We start from the raw sequence: 26440 nt of genomic DNA, 5'->3' as shown, positions 1-26440 counted from the left end.
ACAACCACCCTTGTACAAAAATGTGATCCAACATCTCACATTGGTGGGGATATTGTGTTTTTGTAAGGAAAAAAAAATGGTCTCAAAGTATTCTCCTTGATACTGGGGCTTTTAATCCTCAGCATCTTCCACTTTTGGGGGGCCAGAAAATTTTTTCTTGGTTGCAAAGGAGGGCAGTCCTGTGTCTCATAGTATTGCCATTATTAACTAGATGTCAGCAGAAGCCACCACTTATTACAACCAGGAATGTCTCCACACACTGGCAAATGTTTTAAGGATACAAAAGCACCCTCAGTTGAGAACCACTGATTTTGTCTGTATATGACCATTCTTACAGATGCAGGCACCACCAGGAATCTCTTGAAACAATAAGGTGCATTGGGAAATCTGACCTGGTATTTATTCTTTGAAGCTAGAGTTAATGGGAGACTTCTGTTTTCTTGACAAGTACTGAGAATATACAACCCATTAGAGCAAGATTACTTAGGAAAATTATCTTACATATGAAAAAGTTTGGAAGCCAAATGTTCCTCCATCTGTTGTTTTCCAGAAACTGGGTAGATTCAGTTTTCTGTTTGGTAGTTCCCCTTTCTAACAATTTCCAGGCCAGGTCTTGTACTACTACTACAGGAGACATGACAATTATGGGCTTTGAGGGACATGAGCCGATTCCATCCCTTCCTTATAACCATGACATGGCGGCTCATCTCACATATACAGATTCACTCCAAAGACTAAGTTGGGTAAGTATCTATTTCTCAGCTTTATTACCAGTGAGTGCTCAAGACTCTACCTAGGTGGTTTGATAAAGCAGAATATTCTTAGCAAAGTGTTTCATTTTGGTTCTCTTAATTTTATAACACACTGAATTATAACTAATCTTATAACAAATTTGTAGATCTGTGGAAGTACATTTGTATTTTTGTGATGTTCTAATTGAATTTGTATTGTTTGACTTTTTTCTCATTTTAATAAATTAATTAAACTGCAACATAAGAAAAAAACTAAGAAATTGTGCCTATATATCATTTGCCTAATAAAATATAATTCTATTTAAACTGCAACATGACAGATGTTTTCTAAAAAAAGTCTCCCAAGTAATCAACAGGCAATGATGTTGAATATTATACTTTTCTAGAACAAGACAGTCTACATTTTCTAATTTAAGTTTATAACTACCTTCAACTGGAGACCGGACATAATGTTCTCAGAGTTTCAATACGAATGACAATTTTCTAGCTTATCTGCCTAATGTTTTCTCTAATGACAGCTTTTTAAATTTAACTAGAATCAGCCCTCCTACTTAACATTTGGGCCCTATTCCATTATGGAGAATTAGGTCACTGACTTCATTAGTACCACAAGAATTTATTCCAATACACTGTTAAAAAGCAATTTAATGGCCAGGCATGGTGGCTCACACCTGTAATCTCAGTACTTTCGAGGCTGAGGTGGGTGGATCGCTTGAAGCCCGGAGTTCGAGACCAGCCCGGGCAACAAAGCGAGACTCCATTTCTACAAAAAGATAAAAAAAAATTGGCCAGGTGCTGTGGCATGCACCTATATTCCCAGCTACTTGGGGGATTAAGGTGGGAGGACCGCTTGATCATCCCAGAGTTCAGGGCTGCAGTGAGCTAGGATCACATCACTGCACTCCAGCCTGGGCAAGGGGGCAAGACCACATCTCTAAAGAAAATAATAAATAAAAATTAAAAGTAATTTATTATTATTTATTATTAATCACAATATCTCAGGAACTTATAAGTTTCCCTCAAGTTAGCTAATTTCTAAATTGACCTAGTTCCTACCCCCCTTACAAAGAAAAAAGATATATATATAATATATATTACAAAGAAGTTTATTGTAATTTTAAAACAAGTTAAAGTGTCACTATATTATAAACACCATTCTTACAGTATCTTGGATAAAACAGTATTCCCCCTTATCTGAGGGGGGACAAGTTCCAAAACCCCTAGTGGATGCTTAAAACCACGAATAGTATCAAATCCTATATTTTCCTAAACACATAGACCTATGATTAACTTATAAATTAGGCATAGTAAGAAATTAACAATAAGTTGTAATAAAATTGAACAATTATAACACTTACATACTATAAGAAAAGTTATATTAAGGGTAGTCTCTCTCTATCTCGAAATATCTTATTGTACTGTCCATCGGATAACTGAAACCGTAGAAAGCAAAACTGCAGATAAGGGGGGACTGCTGTATACATAGCTTTGAGTTCCATAACAGTGCTCTGAAATTCAGTCATTTTTATCTAGTAAGTAGTACTCTGAAAAAGACTATGTCATAGTTTACTGTGCTAAGCCACACTTATCTGAATATCTAAATATATAATGTGTATCTTTGAGCACAGTGGTACTTAACAGCGTCAAAAAGTACTGTCATAAGCATATTGTACATAAAAGAGTTTGAAAATCATATTTAGAAGAAAGATCTACATAGAAAAAGATAGCTGACAATATTCACATTAAAATAAAGTACTCACGTTGATGCCCAACCCATCAAAGGATTTTCCCATCGCTCTCTGGTATCAAACTCCATCTTCCATTTCTTTGTGTTGTTTACTCCAGACTGCATGTTATTGCGAGCAGGAACAAAGATCCTGACTTTTCTAGTTTTTATATGCTCTTCTGGAACTCCAGTTAAAGTAGTGATATCCTACAGAAAAACAAGAAAAAAAAACACGTTTCAAACAGCCTACATACACACTAATGTACTTTTGTTGTTTCCTATATTCATGCAACTCTATTCAGATTTGTTCATAAATTGAGATAAATTTTCTGGCTTATTTCACTACCATTCTGATACTTTACAATGTAAATTACTATTTAGATACCTGTAAATGGTTTATTTAGGGGGACGTAGTGGAGACAGTGGAAAAGGATCGTAAAAAAAATTTACGCCCTTTTGTCCAACAAAGCATTGGTATTTTCTGAAGAGACTGTTTGCTCGCAGAAGAGCCTGTAGTCAACAATGCTCTTACTTTGTGAGCAAGTGCGAACTAGTCAGAGGAGAAAAAATACAAAGGAAATATGAAAAGGGGATATAAAAAGTAAATCCTTATTTGCATGTTTATTTAAATCTTAAATAGAAGACAATCTGTTACTTATAATTTCTGTGTCAAATTGCTTACCCACAAGGCATTACCTTGAGAGGGAAACCTGAACCTTTTTGTAAAGTTGTAAATTTAACAACTTTAATTAGCATTGTGATGTATCTCCCCCCTTTGGTGAAACCTACTAAAGAGAGAATGATACAATCAAACACATTCTGCAAAAGTAATCCCAAAAAGTGGCATAATTTTTGCCAAAATGTGAGATGAAAACAATGGTAACTTTAACTCGATTTTTCTATAATTTTATCCAGTAACAAATGCTCATTTTGAAAATGCACAGAATTTTGATGCCCCAGAGTAGATACATTTATCAAAACATAGTAGCAGTCAGGACACAAATTAGTAAAGTAATTCAGAGTTTAAAACTTATTTATTCCTAGTGTTCCATTATTGGAATGCTAAGCATGTGGGAGTTATTTATATCCTACTGCTCAAGGCCATTGCCAAGGTCTGATTGCAAAAATTCTAAAAACTGCAACCTCAGACATAAATGGGTTAAATCTCCATTTAGTAATGGTAAAATACTTTATCTGATCAAAGTAAATCACATTGGGGTCAACCATATGCTTATTAATGAAGCATTTTAAAATCATGGTTCACTTACTAACGTAAATTTTGGATAACTTGGTAAAAACAAGAGTTAATATAAAAATGATTATACCAAATTTGTGAAAACTAGAAAACGTCTGTGAATTTTTATGTCATTATAATACACACCCTAATGAAGACTAATGTTTATTTGTAGTTTCAATCTATCAATGCTATGAACCAAATAACTGGCAAGAATACTTAGCTGGTAAGTATTCTTAGCTAGTACGTACTAGTGGGAAAAACACGAAACACATTTCTGACTTGACTATTATCTCTATCCACAAGATTAAAAACCAATTCTTTAAAGTTATTTTAGTTGGCAACCAATCCTCTATTTAACACAATACCTTTCCACCTGCGTCAATAATTAGGTGTGGCTACTTTGTCACAGCTTGTTTACAGAAACTATCAAAATTATCCATATAAATATTTACACAAATATGCACTTCTAATATGTGCCTACATTTACTTATTTTTAAAGTTTCCCTACATCTAGTTTAAAGTAAAAATGAGTGAAGCTGGCACATAATTTTTAAAGGTGTGAAATACTTTAATTGGTAATTTCTAATATTCAGGTTCAACTTCAAAAAAAGTTTAAGTATTATTATATTTAATGACTTCCTGAAGCATATATTCTCTATTTAAGAGCTTAAAGTGGCTCAACTCCTGGGAAGTCCTCAATGTTTAATTCCTCCTTTGAATTCACTGTAATACTTGCAATCTGCCATAGTAGTTTATTATTTAATATTATATATCTTTAGATTAATCTGTCTCGTTTCCTCAGCTACAGCTTAAGCTGGGTATAAACAAACACTATAAGCATGTTATAGAATTATGGGGTGGGGCATCTTTTCCAAATTCCAAAGCATCCCCTCTGTTCTGAGCTGAGCTCATAAAAGCTGGAGCTGTAAGTTATGTCTATTTTTAAAACTATATGAAAGGAAACACATTAAACTCTTAACACTGGTTACCTCAGGAAGATTAGAGGAAACACTTTTACTTTACCTACTTCTATACTGTGATGCATATATGCCAAAGTGATTAAAAAACTTAAGATTTTAAACTTTTTCAAGTTTTGAAAAAAATTGAAATAGTATTTCTTGATTTATACTATAAAACAGTATTTGAGCTACAAAGTAGAAAGGACAGTATATAGAAAACCTTTTTTAAAAAGTGTCTACACAATGTTGCTAAGCTATTTATATTTTGAACTCATAACTACCAATCTTCCATGTCTTCTCGAATTACAGCAATTATTTATTGGTATCTTACCCTAATTTAAAGTTGGCATTTGAACAAGTGGGTTTCTGATTTTGGGAACCCAAGTTGTCATGACACAGAATCAGTTTTTGCATGCAGAAGACATGTAAGGTACTACAGCCCAATTGAGCTGCTGCCAAAGACAGAATAAAGAGGCTTGGCATCTCTCATATACTTGACACCTAAAGGGTACAGAGGCTCTAAAATTCCTAGTCCCTGTAGGCACACTCTCAGTCTAGACAACCTGATTTCTCACACTTTAAAAATGCATCACGACACCCTATTGTTATCATTTCATCCACACAGCTTCGGCTAGTGACAGAAGAACCTGTTCTTTAAGCACATTTCAATGGGCTAAAGCTCCCACTCCAAGATTCCATTAAAACAATGTAACACTTGAAAAGAACTATGAGGCACTATGCTGAACTCTACTTGTGTCTTCAACGCTTTGTGTGGTTCCCTCTAAATTCACACGGAGCTACCTGAGATCTAACTTTCACAAAAAAATTTAAAATCCGCAAACTATTTAAATTATATTGAACTAATTGTATTCTTTATGGATTTCTACTTTTGTATGGCAATATGGATCACCTGTGAGTTTTTGAAACCTATTTAGAAAAGCTAGAAATGCTTTGGAGAAAGATGTCACTATTGCCTTTTACAAATTTCTTATTTTACTGGTAAAATAGAGATAAATAATTTATAAATAATAATTCAAAAAACTAAATCACATAGGTATGAAAAGCCTTCAAGCTGGCACCTGAAGAACCTCAAGACTCACCAGTTAATAATTATCTGTAAATTCTAATAAAACAAGCTACTCTATAAGTAATATACACAGATTTATTGAATTTTAAAACTTAATTGTTGAATAGTTGGGTCAAGTATGAAACCTATGCTTCCATTATTAATGTCATTATCCTAATAAAGTTTCAGAAATACAACCTTATGTGCAATATGCTATTTTAATAAATGATAACTAATAAGTCAATGATAATTCACAGATTAAGGGCATTCAAGTCAAAATTTGCTATTGGAAAGATGCATGTCATAATTCCAAAGTTCATTCTTTCAACACCATATCTTCAACAATTTTAAATTTTGGAGGAGATGATAGCTGACCTGCCATTTCACAAGTCTACATAAATGAAGAGAAAATTTAAAAAATCACTATGAATGTACCAGTATATGTATATGAACTTTATTCTTTCAAATACCAATTTCCATGATAAAATACTAGTTTTCCATATTAAAACTGTATGATTCGGTTATCAACTGTCTCCATTTATCTTCTGTGATTTCAACTTTTTTTTTCTTTAACAAAGGAAGCAGGGAACAAGCAATGGGAAGTTGGTGTCAAAATGCAGAAAAACCTCCCAGCAAGCTTCTTGCAACCACCCAGGATTTAGAGTCTTGCTGGCCGCTCTCTTTTCAATACCAGAATTTCACACATTTCAATGACTATTATGACTTCAAAGAATCAAATTTTCATCATTGTCCGTCATCTGCCGGTTGATTTGTATAAAGGAGTTCTTCTGCATGCACTCCCAACAAAAGCCTCCTTACTTTTGTGGCTATATATCAAGTTTAAAAGTTTTGTTTGTGACAGTTGTGTCTTTGGTAAATTAGGGCAACACTGAAGGAGTGCAGCTGCTCCACAGGAACCTCCTTTTTGGCACCATTTCACTTAAATAAAAACTGAATAATTAGCTTCTGCCTTTATTAAACCACAAAAATGCCACTGGCCTTAGTAATTACTTCCGGTTGCCCCACCCACTTAACCTTAACAGTTTACACTTGTCATGAAGAGAAATAAATGTAAGGTTTTTGCACTTTGGGATGCATTTTTGCTAGATCTCTCAGTACGCCCAGAAAAGCCAAAACTTTTATCATGCTTTTCCTAGTAAGTTCACTAAATTGCATGTTAGTATGGATCAATGCTGAACAGTTTTAGTAGAGCACATATTGAAACATTAAAAATACTGTTTATAGAAACTTGTTCTACCGCAGACTATTAGTTATTTACAGCTAAAACTAATCTAAATTTGATGACTGAGTTTACATTCTATTTCAACCATAAAAGATGTTCAAAGAAAAGCAAGTCTTAGACCTGTAATAAAAACTTTCTTTCAACTAACCCACAGATACTTAAAGCAAGAAACTCATTAAAGGTTTCATAAATAAGGACATTTTACAAAATAAATTTTACAGTTTAAAAAATATAAAGAGTTGGCAGATAGCATTATCATATCTATTTACTTACTGTGGAAGAACTTAAACACTTCTAAAAACTTAGGGGCCATATAGATTCAGATACAATAAAAAACATAAAAATAAATTTGAGTTGTGCCATTAGAACCAACTTTTGTTTGTTTGTTAAAGTAACAAATTGATGTTGGAGTCCAACCAGGCAATGAATCAAGTGTTGGAATGTGACATCTGTTATATTTTGCATACTGGGCAAAACTATCATTGAGCCAAAAGTGTAGTTTGAATGAACTGCTGTGGATAATATGATAGAAATAGTTCATGCAAATGATGCTACTAATCATACAAGGAGTACAAAACTAATAATTAGAGACATGTTTTTCAATCTCACAAACTATTTTTACCACTCCTAGATCCTTCTGAGCAGGAAAGCCTTGGCTAAAAGCAAAGGGCTGAGTCAAAACTGGGTTGGAATCCCAGTTCTCAACTTTGGGCAAATTAATAGACTCCTTTTTCATCATGTATGAAATCAGTTTGCTATACCAAAATGAGTACTAAATAACATATGTGAAGTGGTTACCTTCGGCAACAAAAAGAATGTTTCTCATTTATTCAACGTATTTTTTAGCACTTACTACATATTAGACACTGAACACAATGAGCAACAGTGAAAACATGATCTCTGTCCTCAAGAAAATAACAAACATTTTTTTAAAGGACATTCTCTGTCCAACCACACCAGCTCTCAGGGAAGTTTGTAATAAAGGTCCCGGTCTTTAAGGGGATTCTGTCATCTCAACCTTAGCTGGTCAGTCATATGGTTAATGTCACAGATTAATGTGTGTGTGATTACAGGCATGTCATATTCCATGGGAAACTGGAGATCCATAACCACTATAGCAACAAAGTCTTTTCTTTCTTTTTGCCTATCTTTGGAAAGGGCTATCTCCTCCAAATTTCATGTTAAAATTTGATCCCCAATGTTGGAAGTGGGGCCTAACGGGAGGTTTTTGGGTCATTGGAGCAGATCCCTCACAAATGGTCTGGTGCTGCCCTTGTGGTAATGGGTGAGTTCTTGCTCTATTAGTTTCTGCAAGAGTTCCTCCAAGAGCTGGTTGTTTAAAAGAGCCTGACACATTCTCTCTCTCTTGCCTCCTCTATCACCATGTAATCTCTGCACAAGTCGGTTCACCTTCACCTTCTGCCATGAGTAGAATCAGCCTGAAGGCCTCATCAGAAGCATATGATGGCACCATGCTTCTTGCACAGCCTACAGAACCATAAACCAAATATATTTCTTTTCTTTATAAATTATCCAGTCTCAGGTATTCCTTTACAGCAACACAAATGGACCAAGATACTGCCCACACTGGCTCCTTCCTCTTCCTTCTGGACCTTTTTCTTCCATTTTCTTCTGCTCCCCTTTCCTCCTTTTGATATTCCATAAAGTAACTTTGAATCTTGATATGTTCCCCTTCAAGTTCCTACTTTAACATCCTTCCGTCTACCCCTGCCAGAATCCTTCACTTTCCACTTCAGCCCCTCAGTAATTTGAACTTTAAGTACCCCTACTCTCAAGGGATTCAAGGTCTCCCAAAAGCAACCACGTAATGCTGAGAAGAGGAAAAAAAAAAACTATCTGAAAACAGAAATGGATGTTTTGTTCACTTAGATGGACTCTGGGGTAAGACAACTGCTAGATGTTTCCTCAGTCACTAACTCACCTAAAAATTTCATCCACAGCCTCCATAAGAAAAATATTTGATAATAGGCAAATATGTTATAAAACTCCTCCCTGGAAAAAACTTACATTCTTTTTCTGTGCCTTTGAGATGTAAATTTCCTACCTGTCTTCTCTTGAACTCAATAGTTATCTTTTAGAAATACAAACTTCAGGGAGGTAACTGTTATCAAAAGAAAAAAAGAGAGAGGAAGAAACAAGTTTAAACAAAGTTTAACTTTTTAGTTTCTTTGCTTCTGTGATATTTTTTATAACTGCCTGATTTTTAAACAAGAAAAATAAAATGATGCTTAGCTTTGTTTAATGTCTCAAGAAGTTGTCATGAGCAGTTTAATTGTTGAGAACAAGTTAAATAAATATAACTGGAGTAAAAATTTGTAAGTGAACTCTTCAATAATAACATTTTATACAAGATGTCAACTTAAAAAGAGGTTCCAAAATCTTTTTGGTAACTTGCAACCTTAAAGTTATACTTAAGTAAGATTAAGTAACAGATATTCATTAAATGTCTAGGTCATTTCTTAGTAAAATAAAATGCTGAAACATTAATTGCTGAACATAAATTTGAATTTATATACTTTTGGAATATTGCTTTTATACACTATAGAGTAGCTAAACATATTTGGTCTGTTAATAAAAATGAGAAATTGTACTATAAGGAAGCATGTTTCTAGAAATCATAATAGTATTAATCTACAGAATATTATTACATGACAATTCACAATTGCTAAGTATTAAAATTCTAATATATATATATAGTTTAAGCTACAAGAAATTAAGAAGGGTGAAGAGAAACAACTTTTATACAAAAAAAATGCAATAAAGGATGTATTTTTTGGTAAGAGAAGTTCTAAAGCATGAGGGTATATTTTCCATTATGGGAAAAAAGAGAGTAAATTAATTCTGTGCTAAAGTAAAATAACTGGTTTGCCAGAATAAGAGAAAAAAGCAGGAAGAGAAAGCAGTTGGATATTTGTTTCAAGACTAAAAAAGGCTTATGGAAAAGGAATCTTGGGGGAAAAAAATCTTATCTCATGTGGTCAAAGATGGCTGAGACTGAATGAATTCATTTACATAGTTTTATTAACATTAGCTATAGCTATAGTATTAATAGTACACTGATGCAAAACTAGAAATTTGGTCTTCTCTGTTAAAATGACAAAGTTTTCCTGGAGTACTGGTTTAAGAAAGTGAAGGTTTTCCTTTATCTGTTAAGTAACTGGCCAAATAAACAAAGATTTTGTGTTTTATCAAGATAATTTTTTTTTAACTTTTATTTTAGATTCAGGGATACAAGTGCAAGTTTGTTATATAGGTAAACTCATATCATGGGAGTCTGGTGGACAATTATTTCATCACCCAGGTACTAAGCATAGTACCTGATAGTTATTTTTTTCTAACCCTCTACCTTCTCCCACCCTCCTACCTCAAGTAGGCCCCAGTGTCTGTTGTTCCCCTCTTTGTGTCCATTTGTTCTCATTATTTAGCTCCACATATTTGTAACTATGTAGTTTTCTGTGTTTGCCTTTAAAATCTTTTGTCACTTTGGTAATATTTCACAGTGCCCTATGGGCCTATTTAATCAAATGCTTTAAACCTTTTGACATTTTTTACTTCTTAAAGTAAAATTCTAAATTATGTCTTTTAAACCTCTGATTTTGGAACTTTCCAGAGGGTCCCTGGAAAGTCTCAAAGGATTTGTCTCTCAATCTGTTGGAGATATTAATTAGGCTCATTTGATAAGTTAAATTATATGGGAAGAACTGTCAAATAATAAGTGATGTTTAGACTTCTCAAAATTATTATCTATGAGTATATTATTAATGAGTGTTCCATAAATTGACATTTCAAAAATTCTGATATGTTCTGGTGTAATGCTATCAGTCATAATTCTGGCTAGTATGTTAACATTTTGTATACCAAAAAACTGCCGAACTTCCTTGCCAACTGCATCATTATAATAATGAACGCTCATCAGACTTTTAACCACGGCCATTTTAAATCTTCTGTCATTCATAAGACAGTTACTATATATTTTGATTCTTCTCTCAAAGTGTTTGCAGTGAGCAATAGTCTAAGTTGCCTCATCTTCAAGGGGATTAATGAAAAAGACTGACAAGTACTCTGTAACACAGATTTCTGGTAACTTTCAGATTATACCATTGGACTGCATAAGAATTTCCAGAACTCGAATGAAGAAACTAATGGGTTCGTGAAACTGCTCATCAAAATCAAGCAGAACAAGAATTACATGAGGGTGAATGAACTAATGAGGATAATTTTTTTTTGTTGTTTGAAACATTGTGGGTCTTTAATGTTTTGTTTTCCAGATTTAAGGAAATTCTTTTTTCTTTTCTTTTAAGCTATCTATACAGCTTACAGCAATTTGGCAAAGTATACTTTTATAAACAAAAATGGAAAAAATTCTCCCCCTGCATAATCCTTCTAGAATCCAGGAACTATAAGCAAGTATTCTTATTTTTATACAATATAGTTACTTGTACAAGTTCAGGAAGAATCTGTTCTTGTAACAGGAAATTGTGTATTTACTGCTTATATTACCAAGGCTTTGACTAGAATGTCTTATTTTCAAATACAACCAAATAACTTTAAGAAACTAAGTTTGACTTTATGGAGCCAATAAAAGCCCCTTAGGGGTAAAAAAACTGGCCTGGTAACTTGAATACATGGTTGTATGGTTGCCTTACAGCTAGGTGAGTAAGGAATGCTACTTCTTGGAAGGCCTAGGAACCTCAGGATACTTGGGGACCTCAAACAGGAATTCACCTCATCTCTACGAATGCAAAGTCTTATGAAGAGTCCTTGGCTTGGCCTTCTAGTCTCGAGAGGCTTTTACAAATCCAATCTGAGACTCCTTATGAAAAGTTCCAGCAAAGCAGACTTAAAAAGAGCCTATGCTGCACATAATGTAAATAATCAGGTTAAGTGTATTAGCCTGTTCTCACATTGCTGTAAAGTAATACCTGAAACTGGGTATTTTATAAAGAAAAGAGGTTTAATTGGCTCACAGTTTGGCAGGCTGTACAAGAAGCATGGCTGGGGAGGCCTCAGAGAGCTTTTACTTTTTACAGCAAAGCCAGAGCAGGCATCTTCACGTGGCTGAAGGAAGAGAGAAGGGGGCAGATGCGACATACTTTTAAAAAACCAGATCTCATGATAACTCATTTACTATTACAAGAACAGCACAGACAGGATGGTGCTAACCTATTCGAGAAGGACCAACCACCATGATGATCCAATTACCTCCCAACAGGCTCCACCTCCAATGTCGGGGATTACATCTCCACGTCAGATTTGGTAAGAACACAGATCCGAACCATATCACTAAGTTTAATAAGATTAAACTTGTTTTGCAAACAAATTAGTTTGATTATCTTTGATAAAAATGAGAATGACTGTAGAAAGAAAAATTACATTTTAGAAGAAAACTACAGTGCACCTATTATTAGATCCCAGCACATTGTTTTTGAAGTTTTGTTATTTACCTACAAACTGAAATGAATCCTGAATTCTTCCGGTTTCTTCTAATATCTAGCTACAGCTCTCCAAACTAATGTTTCCAATTTTCTCCCAAGTTTCTTTGACTTGGAATTACTAAAATTAAAACTTCCCTTTTCCTGAAGTCTTACAAACTGTGGCTGGATAAATTGATAGAAACTTCAGAGAAATCACAACTCATGTGTAGACAACCTTTGTGACATTCAGACTGCAAACCAGGAAAATCTATCAGACTGCCACTGCCTGTAAAACTGGTTTTTTAAAAAATCTGTTAGCTGGATACAGTGGCATGCATCTGTAATACCAGCTCCTAGGGAGGCTGAAGTGGGAGGACTGCTTGAAACCAGGAGTTTGAGACCAGTCAGGGCCACACAGTGAGACCCCATCTCTTTAAAAAATAAATAATAAGTAAAACATTTGTTACATTTTTTTCTTGTTAATCTGTCTTTTGTTATAGCAGTGTCAGCCATAAACTTTGCAACGGGTATTCAAAAGATTTTCTCCCTAATAGTAGTATATGATTTGACATATGACATAACCAAATCAAGTCTACTAAGAAACTATTTTATGATGAAATGCAATTTTAGAAAAATGATATAAGATACAATTTTTCCCCCAAATAAGAAAAATCTATTAGAACACCTTTTTGCATTTTTATAAGGAAAACTTAAAAATCTTTGTTTTCTAAGTTCAAACTTTGGAACAACTGAAATCGTTGAAAAATATGCTTAACGAAGAAATGAAGGATCAATGCCTAGATGAAAACCAGTATGTTTAACAGAAGCATTTTGAAAATTATTAAACTAATACATTTTTTAATACTTAGAATTACAAAAGTATAACATTTAATAATTTCAACTTTTTGGCAGCTTAATGGATTTGCTTTTTAACCCAATACTTCAGGATTCTTTTTTATTTTTACTTATTTATTTATTTTGAGAAAGGATCTCACTCCATCACCCAGGTTAGGGTGCAGTGGCATGATCATGGCTTACTGCAACCTTGAGTTTCTGGGCTCAGGTGATCATACCACCTCAGCCTCCTGAGTAGCTAAGACTACAGGCACATGCCTCCCTGCCTGGCTAATTTTTTGCATTTTTTTTTTTTTGTAGAGATGGGGTTTCACCATGTTGCCTAGGCTGGTCTCGAACTCCAGCAATCCACCCGCCTCAGCCTGCTGAGTAGCTGGGATTACAGGCATGAGCCACCATGTCTGGATGGATTTTTTGGTTGGTTGGTTGGTTATTTATTTATTTATTTATTTATTTAACAGAGTTTTTGCTCTGTTGCCCAGTCTGGAGTGCAATGGCGTGATCTCAGCTCACTGCAACCACCGCCTCCTGGCTTCAAGCAATTCTCCCACCTCAGCCTTCCAAGTAGCTGGGATTACAGGTGCCTGCCACCTCGCCTAGCTAATTTTTACATTTTTAGTAGTGATGGGGTTTCACCATGTTGGCCAGGCTGGTCTCGAACGCTTGACCTCAAGGTGATTTACCCGCCTCGGCCTCCCAAAGTGCTAGGATTACAGGTGTGAGCCACCACACCCAGCCAGATTTTTCAGATTTTTAAATCATCAAGTCATGTACCTATCTTAGGATACCTGGCAGCTTTTCAGAAGCTATAATAAAAGGTGAAAAAAAAAAAGTCTGGCCCTAAGGTACCTGGAACTTATATAACATTACCTTTTGAAAAGAACCAGTCTAAACCAGATAAGGTGGCATATGCCTGTAATCCCAGCTACTTAGAAGGCTGAGGCAAATGAACTGTTTGAGCACAGGAAATCTGAGACCAGCCTGGGCAATAAAGCAAGACCCACAGGGAAGGAAAAAGGGAAGAGGGAGAGGAAGGAGGGGGAAGGGAAGGAAAAGAAAGGGAAGCAAAGAAAGAACAGAACAGAACAGAACCAATCTATTATTTCTTAATTAAACAGTACTCTTCATCTCCTGGTAATAAATTAAAAAGGCTAAAGAACACATAGCATACATTAAGAGTTATGAAAACAAAAGGTATGGCAGTAAAGAACTAAAGATGAAATAATTCTTAAATAAACAAATATCAGGACAAAGGGCCAGAACATAAATTTCCTAAAATCAAGCAATGGTTTTAAGCAATAAAGGAACTTAATTACATCTGAAAAGGACACTGGAAATAAGAGAAAATAATGGATTGAAAACTGAACGCTTCAGATTTAATAATGAAATATTCATGAGGCAATGATGTGCAAGTCAAACTAGATTGCAAGAAGGCATATTAAAAAAGTGTAAGGGGATTCCTTGTCAATTTAGCATAAGAATAAAAAACTATGCAACAGAAGTTTCCTTTCTGTTGTTAAGAACTGGTCCTAGCTCAGTTGCCTGAACATACTAGTAAAACCAGGGAAACACTTAAGTAAGCAATATACACAAACCTTAAACATTATATTATAATGCAAGAATGTACACGTGTATTCTTTTAATAATCTGATTTGGGCAATACCTTTTGAGTATAGGTCCATTTATCAAAATCCCAAGTGGTGTTTTTTCCATAAACCATCAAGAAAATACACCATCTACAATTTATAGTTTCAGTTTTGTAAATGTGAAGTGAGAATATAAAAATGTTTGTGAAATAATCTGAGTCCAAAATCTGCCTAGAATTTAATGATTTCCTTTTACACCACACACAATCTTTTTACAATTGCCTTACTCAACATACTTTGACAGGAATTATTAGTATGAAGGAGACAAAATATCTTTTCTTCTACCCATCTTGGGTTCATGGTTGAGGGTCCCAAAACAAAAGACGGATTAACAAGAGAAAAGCATACAAATTTATTTAATATAAGTTTTATGTGACACAGAAGCCTTCATACGGAAATGAAGACCCAAAAAAGAGTTAAACCTGTGTGTTTTTATGCGTAGGCTAGATGAAGAGTGGGTAGTCAGAAATATGATAGGATAAAGGAGGTGTGATCTAATGGTAATAGACTGCAGAAACTTAGCAAGGCTTTTTGTTCAGATTCTTCTCTGTGATCCTTTATCTTCCTCAATGTATAGGTAAGGCAACTCTCACATAAGGTTGTATGGTCAGGGAAAGGTCAAAAAATCCTTCCTAGGTTTTACAACTTACCTCATAAGAGACAGGGAGTGGGGAAGGTCACAGTGACCTTTTTGCTTCTGCCTTCTTCATAAAATATTCAATATGCCAAGTCACCATATTGTGGGGTTCCATGTCTTGAACACTATCATTAGAAATTCACCTTTATCATCTTCTCAAAGTATTCAACAGAACTGTTACAGAAAGGACTCTCTTGTCCTCATATAAGCAGATTATAGCACTCAGTTACATTATGAATTACAATGTCAAGTATAACTGGCAGAGACAGGTATGGAAGTAAGCTCGCTGAGTCTTGATAAAGCATACGACTCAATGACTGAAAGCTGAAGTCTGGCAATATACTAAAATGAAGCCTTAATTAAGCCACATATGTAGTATGTCAAGGGTGTTAGTAGGTATGTTTTATAAAGAGAATTGAGAACATCAATAACTGAGCACATTTTTAAAGGTTGGTTTAAAAAGTAAAGATTCATTAACAAAGCCACTGTTGCAAAAGAATTGTCACAGTGTAGTATATGGATCCTGCTGCAATCCATAATGGGATCAGACTACCACTCTTGCCTTTACAAACTATAAAACTAGGAAAGTTATTTTAAGCAACTGTTTTCAGGTATTGGACAACCTGATAACAGAAAGCACAGCACTGTGTTCCCTGAAAGAAGGAAAACTCAAGATGCAGTCCTATAATTGTCTCAGCTTCATGCATGGGGGCACATATCAGACTATGGTACAGAAAGGTAAATCCCAAGCAGAACAAAGCAATCTCACAGAGCAGAAAAGGTAGGGATTGGCATTCAGGCATGCTGAGTCAAATGACATTTCTGAGGCAGAGTTCTGAAGAGGAGTTAAGCAAAAAAGGAGTTTCAGAAATCTGCACAGTCTTTGTCTACAATGAGACTCTGTGAAGTGGGACAAGTAATGAGAAGTTCTAACAAGTCAGAGTAAAGATTTTGCTGAACACTCTGGGCATTAAATTGAGACACAAGAAAGGTAAAACGTAAGAAGAAGAGCAACTCTATGACTGCCCATACAATGCTTAATATCAATCACTAAAAGGATTAAGCTGATCAGCAGTAGTAGACTGCTGAAACAAATCTAAATGCTGTATAAAGGAAGACAGTAAAATCCAGGCTCCCAGTAACAAAGCAATCAGAACATCAATTACACACTTAAAAATCATTAACTGTATTTTCTGGCAAGATGGCCAAATAGGAACTGCTCTGGTCTGCAGCTCCCAGCAAGACTGATGCAGAAGATGGGTGATTTCTGCATTTCCAACTGAGGTACCTGGTTCATCTCACTGGGACTGGCTGGACAGTGGGTGCAGACCACGGAGGGCGAGCCGAAGCAGAACACAGCACTGCCTTACCAGGGAAGTGCAAGGGGTCGGGGAATTTCCCTTTCCTAGCCAAGGGAAGCTGTGACAGACTGTACCTGGAGGAATGGTACACTTCTGCCCAGATACTGTGCTTTTTCCCATGGTCTTCGCAATCGGCAGTCCAGGAGATTCCCATCGGTGCCTGGCTTGGCAGGTCCCGTGCCCATGAAGCCCATGAAAGCTAAGATCCATTGGCTTGAAATTCTCATGGCTAGCGCAGCAGTCTGAGATCGACCTGGGATGCTGGAGCTTGGTGGTGGGAGTGGAGTCCGCCATTGCTGAGGCTTGAGTAGGCAGTTTTATCCTTACAGTGTAAACAATGCTGCTGGGAAGTTCAAACTGGGAGGATCCCATCACAGCTCAGCAAGGCTGACTGCCTCTCTAGATTCCACCTCTATGGGCAGGGCATCACCGAACAAAAGGCAAGCAGCCCCAGTCAGGGACTTACAAATAAATCCCAGATTCCCCTGGGACAGAGCACCTGGGGGAAGGGGCAGCTGTGGGCACAGCTTCAGCAGACTTAAACGTCCCTGCCTCACAGCTCTGAAGACAGCAGTGGTTCTCCCAGCACAGCATTCAAGCTCTGATAATGTACAGACTGCCTCCTCAAGTGGGTCCCTGACTGCCGTGTAGCCTGACCAGGAGACGCCTCCCAGTAGGGGCCGACAGACACCTCATAGAGGAGAACTCTGGCTGGCATCTGGCAGGTGCCTCTATGGGACGAAGCTTCCAGAGGAAGGATCAGGTAGTAATATTTGCTGTTCTGCAGCATTCGCTGGTGATACCCAAGCAGACAGGGTCTGGAGTGGACCTCCAGCAAACTCCAACTGACCTGCAGCTGAGAGGCCTGACTGTTAGAAGGAAAACTAACAAACAGAAAGGAATACCATCAACATCAACAAAAACGACATCCACACCAAAACCCCATCCATAGGTCACCAACATCAAAGACCGAAGGTAGAAAAAACCACAAAGGTGGGGAGAAACCAGTGCATAAAGGGTGAAAATTCAAAAACCAGAATGCCTCTTCTCCTCCAAAGGATCATAACTCCTCACCAGCAAGAAAAGGAAACTGGACGGAGAATGAGTCTGACAAATTGACAGAAGTAGGCTTTAGAAGGTGGGTAATAACAAACTCCTCCAAACTAAAAGAGCATGTTCTAACCCAAAACAAGGAAGCTAAGAACCTTGAAAAAAGTTTAGACAAATTGCTGACTAGAACAACCAGTGTAGAGAAAAACCTACATGACCTGATAGAGCTGAAAAATGCAGCAAGAGAACTTCGTGAAGCATACACAAGCTTCAATAGCCGAATCGATCAAGCTGAAGAAAGGATATCAGTGATTGAAGATGAAATTAATGAAATAAAGCAAGAAGACAAGATTAGAGAAAAAAGAATGAAAAGAAATGAACAAAGCCTCCAAGAAATATACGATTATGTGAAAAGACCAAATATACGTTTGATTGGTGTACCTGAAAGTGATAGGGAGAATGGAAACAAGTTGGAAAACACTCTTCAGGATATTATCCAGGAGAACTTCCCCAACCTAGCAAGGCAGGCCAACATTCAAGTTGAGGAAATACAGAGAACACCACAAAGAGACTCCTCAAGAAAAGCGACCCCAAGACACATAATCGTAGGATTCACGAAGGTTGAAATGAAGAAAAAATGTTAAGGGCAGCCAGAGAAAAAGGTCGAGTTAACCACAAAGGGAAGCCCATCAGACTAACAGCAGATCTCTCAGCAGAAACCCTACAAGCCAGAAGAGAGTAGGGGTCAATATTCAACATTCTTAAAGAAAAGAACTTTCAACCCAGAATTTCATACCCAGCCAAATTAAGCTTCATAAGTGAAGGAGAAATAAAATCCTTTACAGACAAGCAAATGCTGAGAGATCTTTGTCACCATCAGGCCTGCCTTAACAAGAACTCCTGAAGGAAGCACTAAACATGGAAAGGAACAACTGGTACCAGACACTGCAAAAACATGCCAAATTGTGAAGACCATCAGCGCTATGAAGAAACTGCATCAACTAACAGGCAAAATAACCAGCTAGCATCATAATGACAGGATCAAATTCACACATAACAATATTAACCTTAAATGTAAATGGGCTAAATGAGCCAATTAAAAGACACAGACTGGCAAATTGGATAGAGTCAAGACCCATTTGTGTGCTGAATTCAGGAGATCCATCTCACAGGCAAAGACATGCATAGGCTCAAAATAAAGGGATAGAGAAAGATCTACCAAACAAATGGAAAGAAAAAAAAAGGAGGGGTTACAATCCTAGTCTCTGATAAAACAGACTTTAAACCAACAAAGATCGAAAAAGACAAACAAGGGCATTACATAATGGTAAAGGGATCAATTCAACAAGAAGAGCTAACTATCCTAAACGTATATGCACACAATACAGGAGCACCCAGATTCATAAAGCAAGTTCTTAGAGACCTACAGAGAGACTTAGCCTCCCACACAATAACACTGGAAGACTTTAACACACCACTGTCAATATTAGACACATCAACGAGACAGAAAATTAACAAGGATATCCAGGACCTGAACTCAGCTCTGCACCGAGCAGACCTAATAGACATCTACAGAACTCCCCACCCCAAATCAATAGAATATACATTCTTCTCAGCACCACATCGCACTTATTCTAAAATTGACCACATAATTAGAAGTAAAACACTCCTCAGCAAATGTAAAAGAACAGAAATCACAAGAAACTGTCTCTCAGACCATAGTACAATCAAATTAGAACTCAGGATTAAGAAACTCACTCAAAACTACAAAACTACATGGAAACTGAACAACCTCCTCCTGAATGACTACTGGGTAAATAACAAAATGAAGGCAGAAATAAGGATGTTCTTTGAAACCAGTGAGAACAAAGACACAACGTACCAGAATCTCTGGGACACATTTAAAGCAGTGTGTAGAGGGAAATTTATAGCACTAAATGCCCACAAGAGAAAGCAGGAAAGAGCTAAAACTGACACCCTAACATCACAATTTAAAGAACTAGAGAAGCAAAAGCAAACAAATTCAAAGGCTAGCAGAAGGCAAGAAATGACTAATATCAGAGCAGGATTGAAGGAAACAGAGACACAAAAAAACCCTTCAAAAAAATAAATCAATGAATCCAGAAGCTGGTTTTTTAAAAAGATCAACAAAATAGATAGACTGCTAGCAAGACTAACAAAGAAGAGAGAAGAATCAAATAGACTAAATAAAAAACAATAAAGTGGATATCACCACTGATCAAACAGAAATACAAACTACTATCAGAGAATACTATAGACAACTCTATGCAAATAAACTAGAAAATCTAGAAGAAATGAATAAATTCCTGAACACATAAACCCTCCCAAAACTAAACCAGGAAGAAGTCAAATCTCTGAATAGACCAATAACGGATTCTAAAATTGGGGCAATAATAGCCTACCAACCAAAAAAAGTCCAGAACCAGACAGATTCATAGCCGAATTCTACCAGAGGTACAAAGAGGAGCTCATACCATTCCTTCTGAAACTATTCCAATCAATAGAAAATGAGGGACTCCTCCTTAACTCACTTTATGAGGCCAGTATCATCCTGATACCAAAAACTGGCAGAGACACAACAAAAAAAGAAAATGTTATGCCAATACCCATGATGAACATCGATGCAAAAATCCTCAATAAAATGCTAGCAAACCAAATCCAGCAGCACATCAAAAAGCTTATCCACCACAATCAAGTCGGCTTCATCCCTGGGATGCAAGGCTGGTTCAACATATGCAAACCAATAAATGTAATCCATCACATAAACAGAACCAATGACAAAAACCACATGATTATCTCAATAGATGCAGAAAAGGCCTTCGACAAAATTCAACAGCCCTTCATGCTAAAAACTCTCAATAAACTAGGTATTATGGAACGTATCTCAAAATAATAAGAGCTATTTATGACAAACCTACAGCCAATATCATACTGAATGGGCAAAAACTGGAAGCATTCCCTTTAAAAACCGGCACAAGACAAGGATGCCCTCTCTCACCACTCCTATTCAACATAGTACTGGAAGCTCTGGTCAGGGCAATCGGGCAAGAGAAAGAAATAAAGGGTATTCAATTAGGAAAAGAGGAAGTCAAATTGTCTCTGCTTGCAGATGACATTATTGTGTATCATGAAAGTACCATGGTCTCAGCCCAAAATCTCCTTAAGCTGATAAGCAACTTCAGCAAAGTCTCAGGATACAAAATCAATATGCAAAAATCACAAGCATTCTTATACACCAATAACAGACAAACAGAGAGCCAAATCTTGAGTGAACTCCCATTCACAATTACTACAAAGAGAATAAAATACCTAGGAATCCAACTTACAAGGGATGTGAAGGACCTCTTCAAGGAGAACTACAAACCACTGCAAAAAGAAATAAAAGAGGACACGAACAAACGAAAGAACATTCCATGCTCATGGACAGGAAGAATCAATATCGTGAAAATAAACATACTGCCCAAAGTAATTTACAGATTCAATGCTATACCCATCAAGGTACCACTGGCTTTCTTCACAGAATTCGAAAAAACTACTTTAAATTTCATATGGAACCAAAAAGGAGCCCACATAGCCAAGACAATCCTAAGCAAAAAGAACAAAGCTAGAGGTATCATGCTACCTGACTTTTAACTATACAACAAGGGTACAGTAACCAAAACAACATGGTACTGGTACCAAAACAGATATATAGACCAATGGAACAGAACAGAGGCCTCAGAAACAACCCCACATATCTACAACCATCTGATCTTTGACAAACCTGACAAAAACACGCAATGGGGAAAGGATTCCCTTTTTAATAAATGGTGCTGGGAACTGGCTAGCCATATGTAGAAAGCTGAAACTGGATCCCTTCCTTACACCTTATACAAAAGTTAACTCAAGATAAATTAAAGACTTAAATGTAAGACCTAAAGCTATAAAAACCCTAGAAGAAAACCTAGGCAATACCATTCAGGATGCAGGCATGGGCAAAGACTTCATGACTAAAACACCAAAAGCAATTGTAACAAAAGTCAAAATAGACATATGGGATCTAATTAAACTAAACAGCTACTGCACAGCAAAAGAAACTATCATCAGAGTGAACAGGCAACCTACAGAATGGGAGAAAATGCTTGCAATCTATCAATCTGACAAAGGACTAATATCCAGAATCTGCAAAGAACTTAAACAAATTTATGAGAAAAAAAACCAACAGCCCCATCAAAAAGTGGGTGAAGGATATGAACAGACACTTCTCAAAAGAAGACATTTATGCAGCCAACAAACTTATGAAAAAATGCTCATCATCACTGGTCATTAGAGAAATGCAAATCAAAACCACAATGAGATACCATCTCATGCCAGTTAGAATGGCGATCATTAAAATGTCAGGAAACAACAGATGCTGGAGAGGATGTGGAGAAATATGAACGCTTTTACATTGTTGGTGGAAGTGTAAAGTAGTTCAACCATTGTGGAAAACAGTGTGGTGACTCCTCAAGGATCTAGAACTAGAAATACCATTTGACCCAGCAATCCCATTACTGGGTACCCAAAGGATTATAAATCATTCTACTATAAAGACACAGGCACACATGTTTATTGCGGCAGTGTTCACGACAGCAAAGACTTGGAACCAACCCAAATGCCCATCAATGATAGACTGGATAAAGAAAATGTGGCACATATACACCATGGAATACTATACAGCCATAAAAAAGGATGAGTTCATGTCCTTTGCAGGGACATGGATGAAACTGGAAACCATCATTATCAGCAAAGTAACACAAGAAGAGAAAACCTAACACCGCATGTTCTCACTCATAAGTGGGAGTTGAACAATGAGAACACTTGGACACAGGGCGGGGAACATCACAACCCAGGGCCCATCAGAGGGTGGGGGGCTAGGGGAGGCATAGCATTAGGAGAAATACCTAATGTAAATGATGAGTTGATAGGTGCAGCAAACCAGCATGGCACATGTATACCTATGTAACAGACCTGCACGTTGTGCACATGTACCCCAGAACTTAAAGTATAATTTTAAAAAAATCATTAAATGTGTATGTAAAAGGGAAACAACAACTACAATAACAAAATAATCAATAGAAATAGGCCCTGAAATGATGTAGGTTTATAAATAATGACTATAAATATGTTAAAAGATTTCAAGAAAAAAGATGGACAAAATGAGTGAACATTTCAAAAATTTCTGCAGAATAATGGAAACTATATTAAAGAACTAAATAGAAATTCTAGAGCTGAAAAATATAGTATCTAAAATGATAAATACTGTAAGGGATTAATAGAAAATTGGACACCAACAGAAGAAAAGATCAGTAAATTTGAAGACAGGACAATAGAAACTAACCAAATTGCACTACATAGTGGAAAAAGACTGGAAGTCAAACTGGGCCTCAGTGACTGGCTGGAAAATATTAAGCAGTACAATATAAGTGTTATAGTTACAGAAGATGAAAGATTGAAGCAGAAATGTTTTTTGAAGAAAAATTTCCAAATTTTCCAATTTTTAAGAATACTAATCAAAAATTCCAAGAATCTTAATGAACCCTAACCAAGATACATGTAAAGAAAACCACACAAAAACACAGTATAACAAAATTTCTGAAGTTTAAAGATAAGATAATTATCATAAAAGTAGTCTTAAGAAAGACACATTACCTACACAGTAATGATGATAAAAGAAAACAGAAAACTGTAATCCCAGCACTTTGGGAGACTGAGGCAGGCAGATTGCATGAGCTCAGGAGTTCAAAACCAGCCTGGGTAACATGGCGAACCCCATTTCTACAAAAAATAAAGCCAAAACTATCTGGGTATAGTGGTGTGTGCCTATATTCCCAGCTACTCAGGAAGATGAGGTGGGAGGATCTCTTGAGCTCAGGAGTTCAAGGCTGCAGTGAGACAAGATTATGCCACTGCACAGAGACCCTATCTCAAAAAACAAAAACAAACAAACAAACAAAACACACCAAACAACAACACAAACCCAGAAAAGACTGAAAGCTTTTCCTCTAATATGAGGAAAAAGACAATGATGCCCACTTTTACTAATTCTATTCAATGTAGTACTGGAAGTTCTAGCCAGAGCAATTGGACAAGAAAAAGAAATAAAAGCCATCCAAACTTGTAAAGATGTATAATTATCTCTGTTCCCAGATGACATATGTGAAAATCCCTAAAGATTCCACCAAAAAAACCTGTTAGAGATAATAAACAAATTCACCAAGGTTGCAAATATAAAATCAATATACAAAAATCAGTTATGTTCTATACACTCACAATGAACAATCTAAAAAGTAAATTACAAAAACAATCCCATTTACAATGGCATAGAAAAGAATGTAATACTTAGGAACAAACTTAGAAAACGAAAGATTTGTACACTGAAAACCGCAAAACACTGTTAAAAGAAATTAAAGACATAAGTAAGTGGGAAGACATCCTGTGTTCATCAACTGGAAACATCAGTATTGTTAAGATGACAATACTACCCAAAGCAATCAATCTACAGATTCAATGCAATCCCTATAAAAAGTGACATTTTGGGGGTAGAAATAGAAAAATCCATCCTAAAATTCACGTGAAATCTTTGTTTCAAAACAATCTTGAAAATGAAGAACAAAGCTGGAGGACTCATAAATCCCGATTTTAAAACTTACTACAAAGCTACAATAATTAGTTTGGTATGACAGAGAATAGATATATGGGCCAATGAAATAAAATAGCCTAGAAATAAACCCTTGCATATATAGCCAATTGGTTTTTTAAAGAAGTGCCAAGACCATTTGATGTGGAAAGCACCAACAAATGGTGCTGGGAAAACTGGATATCCAATTCTAAAGAATGAAAATGAATCCTTGTCTTACACCATATACAACAGTTAACTAAAAATGGATCAAAGGGCCGGGCGTGGTGGCTCATGCCTGTAATCCCAGCACTTTGGGAGGCTGAGGCAGGCAGATCATGAGGTCAGGAATTCAAGAGTAGCCTGGCCAATATGGTGAAACCCCATCTCTACTAAGAATACAAAAATTAGGAGGGCATGGTGGTGCACGCCTGTAGTCCCAGCTACTCAGGAGGCTGAGGCAGAAGAATCGCTTGATCCCGGGAGGCAGAGGTTGTAGTGAGCCGAGATTGCGCCACTGCACTCTAGCCTGGGTGACAGAGGAGATTCCGTCTCAAAACAAACAAACAAGCAAACAAAAAAACAGATCAAAGACCTCAATGGAAGAGCTAAAACTGTAAAACTTTGAGAAGAAAACATAGGAGGAAATCTTCGACAGTGAATTTGGCAAGGAATTACTGGATATGACAATAAAAGCACATGCAACAAAAAAATACAGATAAATCAGACGTCATCAAAATTAAAATTTTTGTGCATCAAAGGACATCTAGCTGATAGAGGATTAAGATCCAGAATATACAGAAAACCCTGAAAACTCAACAAAAAAACAAACACCTAATTCAAAATGAACAAAGAACTTGAATAGACATTTCTCCAAAGATACATAAACGGCAAATAAACACACAAAAAGATGCTCAACATCACTAATTTATTAAGAACATGCAAATCAAAACCACACTGAGATACTACTTCACACACATTAGGATGGCTATTATAATGAAAATGGAAAATAACACATGTTGGTGAGGATGCAGAGAAACTGGAACCTTTGTGTATTGCTGTGGGAATGTAAAATGGTGCAGCCAATATGGAAAACAGTATGTAGTTCCTCAAAATGCTCAACGTATAATAACTACATGATCCAACAATTCTACTTTGGGGCATCTTCCTAAAAACTTGAAAGCAGAGATTTGAACAAATATTTAGACATCCATATTAATAGCAGCATTATTTACAATAGCCCTAGAAACAATCCAAATGTTCGACGACAGAAGGATGGATAAACAAAGTGTGATATACACATAAAATGGAACTATTATGTAGAGCCTTTAAAAGGAATGAAATTCTGACACATGCTATAACACAGAAAGTATAATAGAGGTTATGAGGAACAGGGGAGAGCATAAAGGACAGTTAATATTTAATGGGTACAGAGTTTCTATTCGGGATGATGAAAAAGCTCCGGAAATAGTGGTGATGATTACTTAACATTATGAATGTGGTTAATGCCACTGAATTGTGCTCTTAAAAATGGTAAACTTTGTGCAATGTATATTTTAACATAATTTTTCAAAAAAGGAAACTGGAATGACATTTTTAAGTCATTCCAATCTTCAACCTAGAATTCTATATCCAATGAAAAGGTCTGTTATGAACTGAATGTTTGTATTCTCCCAAAATTTGTATAGTGAGTCCCTAATCCTAAATGTGATGGTATTTAGAAATGGGGCCTTTGGGAGGTAATTAGGGTTAGATGAGATCATGAGTAAGGCCCTCATAATGGGATTAGTGCCCTTATGAGAAGAGATATGACAA

General features: G+C 36.2%; 1 protein-coding gene across 5 annotated transcripts in view; it reads right to left on the bottom strand.

Annotated features, from left to right (window-relative positions):
• NDUFS4 (NADH:ubiquinone oxidoreductase subunit S4) overlaps positions 1-26440 on the bottom strand; it is a 122700-nt gene that overhangs the window by 34421 nt on the left and 61839 nt on the right. For all 5 annotated transcript variants that reach the window (NR_134475.2, NR_134473.2, NR_134474.2 and 2 more), the window contains one exon: positions 2513-2685. Coding sequence is in view for 2 of the 5 variants with exons in the window: in NM_002495.4 (NP_002486.1) it covers positions 2513-2685 (173 nt within the window). In the remaining 3 variants the exon portion in view is untranslated. The remainder of the gene's footprint in view (positions 1-2512; positions 2686-26440) is intronic.

The sequence above is a fragment of the Homo sapiens genome, chromosome 5 (assembly GCF_000001405.40).
Source record: "Homo sapiens chromosome 5, GRCh38.p14 Primary Assembly".
Lineage (NCBI taxonomy): Eukaryota > Metazoa > Chordata > Mammalia > Primates > Hominidae > Homo > Homo sapiens.
The sequence above is the reverse complement of the archived record's forward strand: the minus strand, read 5'-3'. Positions and strand labels throughout refer to the sequence as shown.